The sequence below is a fragment of the Homo sapiens genome, chromosome 13, assembly GCF_000001405.40.
Source record: "Homo sapiens chromosome 13, GRCh38.p14 Primary Assembly".
Taxonomy (NCBI): Eukaryota; Metazoa; Chordata; class Mammalia; order Primates; family Hominidae; genus Homo; species Homo sapiens.
In genome coordinates, this window is record NC_000013.11 from 35341483 (window position 1) to 35353912 (window position 12430).

The window sequence follows — 12430 nt, forward strand, 5'->3', positions numbered from 1 at the left end:
AAATCATGTGTCTAATAAAAGTCTAATCTCCAGAATATAAAAGTAACCCTTACAACTCAATAATAATAAGACAAATGGCCCAATTTAAAAATGAATAGAAGATACAAGTAGACATTTCTCCAAAGAAGACATACAGGTGGCCAATGGACACATGAAAAGATTCTCAGAAATGCAAATCAAAACCACAGTAAGATACCACTTCATATTCATTAGAATGGCTATAATGTTTAAAACAGACAACAACAAGTGTTGGCCAGGATTCACAGAAATTGGAACCCTCACACTTTGTTGGTGAGAATGTGAAATAGTACAGCCACTGTGGAAAAGAGTTTGGCTGTTACTCGACAAGTTAAACATAGAGTTACCATATAACCCAGAATTTCATCTGTAGATACATCCTCAAGAGAATTGAAAACATATGTTCACAAAAAACTATTCATAATAGCATAATTCCTAATTGCCTGTAAGTGGAAACAACCCAAATGTTCATCAACTGGTGAGTTGGTAAACAAACTATGATATATGCATAAAATGGGATATTGTTCACCAATAAAAAGGAATAAGGTACTCATACTTGACATGGATGAACCTGGAAAATATTGTGCTACCTGAAAGAAGCCAGACACATATTGTATGATTCCATTTAAATGAAATGTCTAGAATAGGAAAATCCATAGAAACAGAATGTAGACTAGTACTTACCAGAAGAAAGGAGGAAGAGGAAATTGAAACTAACTACTACTAAGTATAAGGATTTTTGCAGAATGATAAAAAGGATCTAGACTTATATAGTTCGTGGTTCCACAAGATAGTGAGTATACTAAAAACCACTACAGTGTACATTTTTAAATGGAGAGGATTTTGTTATGTGAAATATATCTCAATTTTAAAAATACTTTTTAAAAATTAGCATGAAATGAACTTTTAGCGATAACCATAATTTTAGATGGTTTATCCCCAAGAGAACAGCAACTAAGAAACTTACAATGTATGCATGTCAGGACAGCATAAGAAAATCTCATAATGACAAAACTATACAAGGAGAAAAGTATGCAAACAAATTGGTAAATTTGTGTACATCTACGTAGAAATTGTCTTTATAAAGGGCTAATGATATGTAATATGTGAGTTTGAACTGGACAATATTGGGCAATAGCTTGTAAGTTAGAAGGGATTGTTACATAATATTGTTGCAGAAGAGGCTTATGATGTTATTTAACTTCATACTTATTTAAGTTAACTATACCTGGTAAAAGCCCAAGCATAGCAATGAAAAGAGTAGAATAAATACATTTCCAATCAGTAGGGAGTAAAAAAGATGGAATTAAAACTAAAGTTTCTATCCCCAACCCCTCCCCACCCCAATAAAAAGCATTAAAAAACTGGGACCAATGGAAGATTTTTAAAGTATTGGGCTAGAATTAAATACATTATATATCAATAAGCACAATAAATATAAAAGGACTATGATTTCCAATTAAAAACCAAATTTCTCAGATATGATTAAAACTCCAGGTGAGTTCCATTTATTAAAGGCATACCTAAAGCCAAAAGAATGTTGAAGGTAAAAAGATAGAAAAATATATCCTGGGCACTAATCAAAAAACTAAGCTGACATAGCTATATTGATATTTTAAAAAATATTTCAAGGGAAAAATTGTTAGTGAAGAACTAAGTTGTATGGGTAGGAAGAGCTGAATTTTCTTAAGTAAGATGCTACCATCCTAAATTCATGTATTTCAAATAAATAACCTCAAAATGTGTAAAGCAAAAATTGATGAAACATCAGGGAGAAAATGACAAATCTGCCATCTTTGTGGAAGATTTCAACACTCCTATCTCAGTTATCAAAATATCCAGGAGACAAAAAAATTCAGTGAATATATACAAGATTTGAATAACATAATTAGCATTTGATACTATTGATATATAGAACTTTTCACCCAATCATAGACAGTACATATTATTCTCAAGCAAACATGTAACCTGTGTAAAATCTGATCACATGGTTCAGGGGTCCCCAATCCCTGGGCCACAGGCTAGTACCAGTCCTTGGCCTGTTAGGAACCAGGCAGCACAGTAGCGGGTGAATGACTTGCAAGAGAACAAAGCTTCATCTATATTTACAGCCACTTCCCATTGCTGGCATCACCGCCTGAGCTCCGCCTCCTGTCAGATCAGTGGCAGTATTAGATTATCATAGGAGCATGGACCCTATTGTGAACTGTGCATGCAAGGGATATAGGTTGCATGCTCCTTATGAGAATCTAATGGCTGATAATCTGTCACTATCTCCCATCACCCCCAGATGGGAACATTTAGTCACAGGAAAACAAGCTCAGGGCTCCCACTGATTCTACATTATGGTGAGTTGTATAATTATTTCATTATATATTACAATGTAATAATAATAGGAATAAAGTACACAATAAATGTACTTGAATCATCTCGAAACCATCCCCTTCCACCCACACTGGCCCGTGGAAAAATTGTCGTCCATGAAACTAGTCCCTGGTGCCAAAAAGGTTGGGAACTGATGACATAGTTAGATCATAACACAAGTCTTACCAGATTTTAAGAATTAGTGTTATCAATACCATGATATCTGACCAGTGTAAATTTATATTTGAAGGCGAGGACAAATAATTATATTAAAATATTCTCATTACTGCTGAAGAATTTTGAACACTTAACATATTTCAAAGAAACATAAAAAGTATTTAGACTAAACAATAATAGATATACTAAATACAAAAACTTGTAGAATGTAAGGAAAATGAAACATGAAGATAAATCTATTTGCGTAAAAGCTTATTACTTGAGAGAAAAGCCTAAAATTAATGAACTAAATCTCTAACTGCAAAAAAAAATGTCCAAGTTAGGAAAATAACAGAACCCCTTCACAAAGTAGAAGAAAGCTAATAATAAAGAAGTTTAACAGAAATCAGCAAAATAGAAAAATAAGATACAGTGGAGAAGATTAACAAAGATAAATGTTTATTCATTAACTAATAATAAATGAGCAAACTCTTCTAAGATTGATTAAGAACAAAATAAAACAACACAAATAGTGAACATACAGAATGAAAAGGAGACATAATTATAACCAAAACTAATTAGAAAAGAAAATGAGAGTGCTATCAAAGCATTATACCATTAAAATTACAAATTTAAATGAAATGAGCAATGTCCTAGAAAATATACAGCTTCCTATAACTGAAAAAGAAGAAACAAAACCCTAAATAGTTCTTTAAGTATGAAAGGAAGTTAATCAGTAAAATTTCTTCCTGTAGAGAAAACTCTAAGCCCAAATAGTTTACAGGAATAGTCTACCAAATGTTCAAGTAAAACTCTGTTCCAAACTTACAAACTCCTAGAGATCAGAAACAGGGAATGTTCCAGATTGTTCACTGAGGACTGTGTAATCTTAATTATAAGAGCAAACAAGGAAAATCACATGCCAATCTCCCTTATGAATATAGATCTGTAAGTTCTAATTAAAATATTAGCAGAACTCAATTCAACTGTGTATAAAAAGATAACATGTGTATGTGGGGCAAACTGGAAGACGGTGATGAGGGAAATTTATCCCATGAATGCAGGAGTTGTTCATCATTTTAAAAATTTCTAAAAATGTCATTCATTTATCACATTAAAAGTGAAAACTTTTATGATCATCTTAGTAGGTGCAGACATCTAGTAAAGGTCAGTAACGTTCATGATTAGAAAGAATACTCTTAGCAAATTAAGAATAGAAGAGAATTTTGAACTATTTTAATTTAAAAAACAATATCTACAGAAAACCTGCAGCTTTATTTATAAAACTCACAAGCAATCTGAACAACATATTGCTTTGGCATATATACATATGTGAGATAAAATGGTTTGTTAAGGAAGCAAGAGACTGATAAATACCAAGTGCAGCAGAGTGGTTTATTTATTTATTTATATATTTACATATACTATTATTTTTAAGTGAGTGAGCTTAGGATAGTAAAGACATTCGTGTCGCCTCTCAAAACCTGAGTTAAAAACAACTTGACTGTGAAAAAGAAATATAGATTTTATCCTCAGTGAAAATTCATTTTGTTACTTTCCTTAGCAGTCTAGATGTAAGACTGAGAAAGGAGACCAGTGTGTTAACCCAGGGTCACACATCTTTGACTCCAGTGCAGCAGGTAGATCAGGAATTAAGTGAAGGTGTTGGCAAGAGAGTGGTTAAAACATGGAATTGTGGGATCCCAGATGGATGCAAAAGGAAGTGAATTATTAAGCAGAAGAGGAAAGAGAGCAGCAAGGATAGGAGATCATGATCTGAGAGTAGACTTAAAGCATAAAGACTTGTGAAATGAAGCTACTTATGGCCATTGGATTTATTTGCTGAAGTAAGGGAGACTTGAAGATCTTTTGAGTTAATCAGTCAAAGAATTGTGAGCTGCTGTGATCAATGTTTTCCATGTGGATAATGGTGTCATTCAGAGTGGTGTCAAGAGTCATGGAAAGATACCTTCTCTTCGTGTAAATAAAACATCATAGATCAGTTGGCAGAACTCATAAGTGCCCAAGATAGGGGAACAGACTAAAAAACTGATACAATTTCTTTGGTGTGTCTGAGGACAGGAGTCTTTTGTTACAAAGCCTCCACCCCCACAGCCATGCTGCTTTGCTTTTCTAATCCACTGCTTTGCTCCTGGGAATGATATGTATTAGCCAGCCAGACCATGTACCCTTCCCTTCCTGCTGTCTCCTGTTAATCTATTTAAGTTTTGTAATTTGCACTAATTTGCACATATTAGATTTCTTCCTGGCTTTCTTCAGCCTTCAGCATGCACTAGACAAAGCCATTGAACGAAATATTCTAATATCACATCTCTTCTCTCTTTTGAAGCCTCTCTACAAAATGTAGGCTGATAATATGATCAAAAGTTAATAATCAGAGTTTACGTGATGTTCTTTTTTAGCTTCTTTTAATTTTCCATTTCCCTCAGTGATTAAGACTGTATGTTTGTTTGCCCTCCAACGTCATTTACAGAGGAGTTTTTATCTTTTTTCCTAAGTATTGTCACATCTAACAGATTTCCATAACCTTTGTATTCTTTTAATAATTTGTGTTGTGGTTAACTTTTAGACTGAAAACTGGACAACTTTCCCATTAGAATGTGTCTATGTCCCCCTCAACAGATTGGAGAGATAGCTGCTCCATGCTTCTAGGAAATATCTGCAGCTATCCTGCTGCTATGCAAGATTTTACTGGTGCCGCTGTCATATTGTCAGAACCGTTCCCACTGGTCCTAGAGTGACAGAGTAGTTATTTAACCTAAATCTTATCAAGGAGTGATTAAATCTATATCTGAGCAGACATGGATTTTAGACGGATTTCTACTGAGAACTATCTTGAGTTCAGTGTTGCTCAGTATTTACATTACCACCCTAAAATAAAGGAACCATTCACCTGTCGGTTTTTATGGAAGATGCCACAAAGATATTGCAAGTAATTTGGTGGGAAGATATTAAAACTTCATGTTTTGTAATTCAACCTTGATATTAGAAAGAACAAATAAATCCAGTATAGTCACACTCACCTCAAAGACATATGTAGGCTTTTAAAATTATATTTAAACAATAAATTAGAAATATCAGAATACATAATGATATTTTGTTTCTTCTGCTTATATTTATGTATCAGTAAAGAAGAAAGTTTGCCACAGGTAGACATGATATAGTGAAGAATATAGGAGGAATTACTAGGACTTAGTATTTAGTAAGTACAGAAATTAAAACAAAGTTAAACCTATTTCCATCTGATTTATATTTATGAAAACTTGAGCAAAAAAAAGTTGATATATTTCATTAATGAGCAGTGAAAAAAAGTAATGCTGTTATTGAAGTAGTACTCCTGTTTAAAATCCCCGGAAAGAAAAACTGGACAATGAAGGAATATGAGGATTAGAATGAAATTTAAAAAGGACATAGACAAAGGAACTGAAACCACTTCTTAAGCTTGCCCTTTAAGGAAAACCCAGAATGACTTGAAGGTAGCTTTTTAAATATTATTTTTTTTAATATGCAGTAATTACTTAATGCAAAAAAAATTGAAGAAGACACAAAAAGGCCAAATCATTGTTTTTAATTGACACAGTGAAAAACAAAATGATATTAGTTATTATAATCAATATTATCTTCCCCTCCTCTTCCTCCTCCTCCTCTTCCTCCTCCATCTCCTCCATGATCATCATCATCATGTGGCTTAAACCAGTAATCAGTTTTTTTCTTTCTTATGATTCTCATTGCCTGGGCTCAGCTAAGCAGTTCTCTCTGGCTCCATGTGGAGTTGCCTGGGTCTGCAGTGTCCTGAATGTGACTTACTTTGGGCTGAGACCTCATTTAGGCCTGAGAGCCCGAGCAATTCTGTGCTCTTCAATGTGCTCCATGTGATGTGGGCTTCTCTCAGGGGAGCAACAGACTCCAGAAGAGAGAGTTCAAAAAAAATCAAAAGCTGCCTGGCATCTTATGTCCTAGCCTCAGGAGTCACATAGCATCACTTCTGCTGTATTCTGTGGCTCACAGGAAGTCACAGGGCAAGTCCAGATCCACAAGGAGTAGAAAAAGTCTCCATTTTTTGATGACAAAGTCACACTGCAAAAGAGCATGTGGGATGGGAAATGTTGTTGCAGCCATCTTTGGAAGTAATCTCTGCCACATGTTATTAAAGAAGTTAGAAGAAGCTCACTGTGTGTACATGTGAAAAGATGTCCAAGATACATTTCTATGTGAGAAAAGCTGGGTAAAGAACAGACTGTATAATGTACTAATAATTATCAGTGTTAGGAAGTGTGGGAAAAGAATATATTTGTATTTTTATTTATATATTTTAGAAGTCTCTGAAACACACCCAGGCATAACAGTGGGTACCTGTTGAGGTTGAAAATTTGGTGACTAGGGGACATAGTGAGAGGCTTTTCACTGTAAAATGTTACTACACATTTTAAAAATAATTCGAATCTCCTAAATAAGTAACTTCTGTAGTTAAAAAAGTCAGCTATATGGTTGAACTTTAACTGTAGTTCCATATTAGAATTTGGAATCTCAGCATTTAAAAGAATTTTAGATGTCATTTAGTCCTATCATCTGCATTATTTAAAGTAAGAATCTACATGGTTTATCTGAAATTCAAATTTAACTGGGCATCCTATATTTTTAAAAATTTTATTGAGGTACAATATAAAAAAATAAAAATAAAGTAAGAATCTAGTCTGTTGATTTCCTAAAGTGTGGTCATTGAACTTATCTGTGAAAAATTACCTCTAAGATAGTGACTTCTGTTGCATAACCATTTGAAAACACTCCAACCAAAATTTTTTATTTTTGAGGAACCTATCTTAATTGAATTAACTGAATTGCTGATTAACAAGACACACTATTTAACAGAGGAATTGGTGCAACAGTTTTATGACATCTTTCTATATTTCACATTTTACTGAATCATAATTTAAAATATATTAATTTTATATCTAGCTTTATCTAAAACTTATGTATATTTGAAGTACTGAAATCTGATTATTGAAAAAAATTGGACTGACCAAAGCTATTAAGAATAATATTTCTAAAGGTATTTTTCTTTTTAGATTACTGTGCCATGCTATGAAGGACCATATAGTCCGTGTTGCAAATGAAGCTGAGTTTATTTTGAACAGACAAAGAGCCGAGGATGTACATAAACATGCAGAGTTTGAGGTAAGGTTTTGGGAGTAGACTAAATTCTGCCTTTCTATTATAAGCCAAAAATCACCTATCTGTGACCTTACATAAGAAGGTTTTTTTAAAAGGAAAATTTCACTGAAGGCATTTCTGTTCCTGTTTTTTAAAAGCTTTAGTAAATGTCAAACAGAGTACTAATATATTTTCACCCCATTTACAGCATGAAAACATTCCTTCTGCCCTATATATGCCTAACCATTTGGTAGACTGAAGTTATTCTAACCTACTCAAGAGTAAATGCAAAAAATAATTTATAATGCAACAATTTTAGTTATTTTAAGCTAGCAGAGATTTACACACCAATAGGTAGATATGAGTATATGATACAGTTATATGAATAAACTCATATAAGATTCAAAAAAATCTTTCAATTTCTGTTTTATACATAACAGTTATTTATTATTTCAGTTTATTCCATTTACAAGACAAAATAGGTCCGAGAAATATTTATGTGCCCTGCTGTTTGGCTTAGTTGGACTTGAAAGTAATAAATGACTCACCAATTTATTCTCCTGATACAACAGGCTAACAAGTATGGTGTAGCTAGAAATCAGAGCCCACAATTCTAGTTTTGATGAGGTTTTTATCTCAGTAAAGCAGCTCTGTGAGTCATACAAGTTGATAGACTAGGTCTAGTGATCTCTGACCTAGCTGGCTGAAAAGCATGAGACAGGAAAATAGCCACTATCGCTTTCAAACACATGACCTTTGCTTCATTTGGTCAGAAGAGGCACAAGACAAGCAGCCACTTGTCTTGTGAAATTGCAACAACCGTATTCTGAGAAAGATACCAGATATTTTAAACTTCGATAAAAGTATAGTGATCTTTAAGTGTTTATCAAAGTGAAGTTTCGTATTAGTAAAGATTTGGAATCTCAACTGAATTCCCTGCAGGATCAGTTTTGAGTCTCTTGTATTTCCACTAAGAAAATCAAGATAATTTGTGAGGATATAAGCAGATCAATATTTGTCATGTGAAAACATTTAAAATAGATTTTCAAGTGGCTAGATATTAGTTATGAGCTTTAACATGTTTAACCAAGGTGACATTAAGCCAAGGGCAGTGTTTCTCAACCTTTTTTATTGTTGTTATTGATTCCCTAAGGAGTCCTTTTAGACATTTTGCCTAATTGGCCTCTCATCCCAAAGAAATTTTATAATACCACCCATAGGCTGTGTATCTGTTTTTGTACTTACATACATTTGTGTTTTATGTACTGAAATAACAATATTTTTATCCCCCACCCGACACACACCAATTTTTCACTCTTAGGAATGAGATTACTCTCGTTGTGGGTCATCTTCCCAAGGTGATAAGAGGTTTCCAAGGAAACATGAAGACTTAGTGTTTTTTAGATTTTATAAACATAAAATATAATATTAATGTAAATGTAATTTTGATTATATTGCCAGTGTTATTTGATGATTGTACCTTATTTTTTTAACCTGAAATGTTTATATCTCTCCTTTTTGGGTTAGAGCTATTGATGTGTGTGTGTGTGTGTGTGTGTGTGTGTGTGTGTGTGTGTGTGTAGTTTACACAAAGATATCCCTTTTAAATTGTAAAAGATTTTACAAGTCATGACATTTTGCTAGAACTTTTTGAGGAATTTTTCTATCCCCCATATCAGCCTATAATTAGGAAGAAAAGTATATTTGATTTTAGATGGGTACTTCACAGTTAAGTTTTTTTAGTTAACTACTGTAGTTGTTAAGGAAGAAAAATGAAAATTTAATTTTACTCTCCAATGAGCTAATGAAATATTAACCTCATTACTGAGGCAGATCGTTGTACTAATTGGTGATTCCCTGTACAAAAAGATAAATTGGAAAATGAATTAATCCTTCTTAGATTACTGTAGGGTTATTTCTCCAGAAGAGATTACTTGTGGTAGTAGTGTATATCAATAGATAAATGAGAGGAATATGTTCAAGTACCTTCCATGAAATAGATTTTTGCATAGTAATGATGAATGTGAACTACTTCTATTTATTTTATCAGATGTATGAGACTTTTTTCTTCCTAGTTATATTACTTGTATTACACATTTATTAATGTTAAAAGTTATAGTCACACCACTCTGTATATTTATTGTAGTTTTCTGTATAAAAACTACAATAACAAGAATCAAATTTATAATTAAAGAAATATTTCTCTTTATGTTTACATTAAATATTTTTAATACAAAAAATGATCCATTGATAGCAGTGTTGCTAACAAATGTAAGAATGAATACATGTCAGATAGCTGACATGACAACTGATAATTATGGGAAAAGGAAGGTAAGAATAAGGTAGTAGTTCTCATGAAACCCTTTGAACACATTACATTTTAAGAATATGGAGGGATCATAGAAAAAAATCTTGTCTCAGCTCCTCATTTACAAATATGAAACTGAGTACATTAAAATATATGGAGTTTGCATATTTTGTGAATTAAAATCTAGGTCTACTGAATTCCTAAATGACCACATTTTCTTCTGTATCACATTACCATTCATGAAATGGAAAATATAAATTAAATGACAGATTTTTGATTCATATGTAATTATCAGGAACATACCTCTTATTTTAAGTGAGATATACTATATTGGCTTGATAAACAAGTAGGTTTACATTTATAGTAAATATTTGTGCTTCTAAAATACATGAAAATTAGATTCTCAGAATTGGAAGAAACCATGAGTCTTTAATTACTTCAATATTATTCAAATTATTTTACATATACTTTAGAAAGAGCACATTTTTATATTTGAAAGGTGACTATATGTATTCTTTAGAACAAAATATCAAAAGATTACATTATTTGAGTTTTAAAAAGTTGAATTCCTGTTACCGTTTAACTTAAATGTATATCATCCTTACTTATATGCAGTAAAAAGTTTATTATTATGCATCATTTGTATTTCTTTATAGTCACAGTGTGCCCAATATGCTGCTGATAGAAGAGAGGAAGAAAAGATGTGTGACCATCTTATCAGTGCTGCTAAACATCGAGATCATGTAACAGCAAATCAGCTGAAACAGAAGATTCTCAATATTCTCACAAATAAACATGGTGCTTGGGGAGCAGTTTCTCATAGGTGAGTTATAATAAATTCGAGTAAATAATAATTCATAGGTTAATTATAATAGTTGGTAATAAAAATATGGCTACAAATTTAAAAGTCATTTAGAAAATATAATTTAAAATATAAAAAATTACTTGAAAATTTTCCTGAAATCTTTAATAATTCTTCATCAGAAGAGTTTAAGGGAAAACCTAAACTTTTTATAGTAGCTACAGTGGAAGTTATTTCTACTTTATAATAATATGCAACATAATACAAAATATGGTTAGGCAAGTATTTTAGTCTACTGTCTCTCATATGTAACATGGATGTTTAGGTATGAGAAGTGGCTCTTTTTAAAAAAGAATCTTTTAGAGTCAACTCTTCCTACTTATTAAATTTATATCATTCTTTTTTATACAGAAGCATATATAAGCATATACTACAGAGAAATAATATGTTCTTTTAAAAAGTTTTCTTTCATAATTTTCTATTCAGTCTTACCAAGGGAAGATTTTCATCTCAAATATGATTGTTTATGATAATATAGTACAACTAAAACCAAAATTTGGTTGTTTATAAATCACAAATGTTCTCCCTAAAGTTTTGTGGACATACAATTATTGTTGTTGTTGTTGTTGTTGTTATCTATACAATGAAGTTTTCTGGAAAACTAGAAGTGAAACAGGTCACTATATTTAGATTGCTGATGTTCTTCCTTTTTATATTATGTTTTTTGACCCCACTAAATGTTTTTATTAAGTCTGTGTTTGGCAGAGTTTATTAAATCTGTTTGACAAAGTTGGCTGGTGAAATGTAAACGGGATACTACTAAGAAGAGCCTTGGTAAAAATGATTCTGTTGACCTGGTGCGATGGCTCACGCCTGTAATCCCAGCACTTTGGGAGGCCAAGGCTGCTGGATCACCTGAGGTCAGGAGTTTGAGACCAGCCTGGCCAACATGGTGAAACTCCATCTCTACTAAAACACAAAAATTAGCCAGGCGTGGTGGCGGGCACCTGTAATCCTAGCTACTCAGGAGGCTGAGGCACAAGAATTGCTTGAACCCAGGAGGCAGAGGTTGCAGTGAGCCGAGATTGTGCCACAGAACTCCAGCCTGGGTGACAGAGTGAGACTTTGTCTCAAAAAAAAAAGATTCTGTTAGAGAAAAACACCTAGAATATGAGTAGGATGGTATTTAACCAACTTCCTGGGATTATGAGTGTAAGATAGGTTTTTTAAAACTTTATTAATTTTGGATTTAAGGTAAAATTATAACATGTGTCTTTAAAATAGTCAGCATTTAATATTTATCATAATAATAGCAATAACCCATGGCCTCTAACATTTATTATTTGTTGTGTGCGAGGGACCATACTAAGAACTTTACATGGATTATTTCCTTTATCCTTGAACATCTTTATTAAGGGTGACATTGAGGTATTCTCCATTTTACCGGGAAGAACCTAAAGCTGAAAGAGGTTAAATAAAACTTACATAGTATCACACTGCTTGTACAAATAGAGGCAGATTATATCAGTCAGGATGCTCCAGAGATATTTATATTCATTAACTAAATTTATTTTAAGGAATTTATTCATTCAATCATGGGAGCTGGTAAG

General features: G+C 32.6%; 1 protein-coding gene across 13 annotated transcripts in view, besides 1 other annotated feature; it reads left to right on the forward strand.

Annotated features, from left to right (window-relative positions):
- The window catches only part of NBEA (neurobeachin), a 730467-nt gene that overhangs the window by 399213 nt on the left and 318824 nt on the right, over window positions 1-12430 (forward strand). For all 13 annotated transcript variants that reach the window (XM_047430271.1, NM_001385012.1, XM_006719803.4 and 10 more), the window contains 2 exons: window positions 7626-7734; window positions 10675-10841. In XM_047430271.1, the coding sequence (XP_047286227.1) occupies window positions 7626-7734; window positions 10675-10841 (276 nt within the window). The remainder of the gene's footprint in view (window positions 1-7625; window positions 7735-10674; window positions 10842-12430) is intronic.
- Window positions 8190-8484: an enhancer, noted in NCBI's record as "tiled region #14424; HepG2 Activating non-DNase unmatched - State 5:Enh, and K562 Activating non-DNase unmatched - State 9:DNaseU". NCBI's record gives its function as "activates a minimal TATA promoter and a strong SV40 promoter by Sharpr-MPRA in HepG2 and K562 cells {active_cell/tissue: HepG2 | K562}" and the evidence as "EXISTENCE:reporter gene assay evidence [ECO:0000049][PMID:27701403]".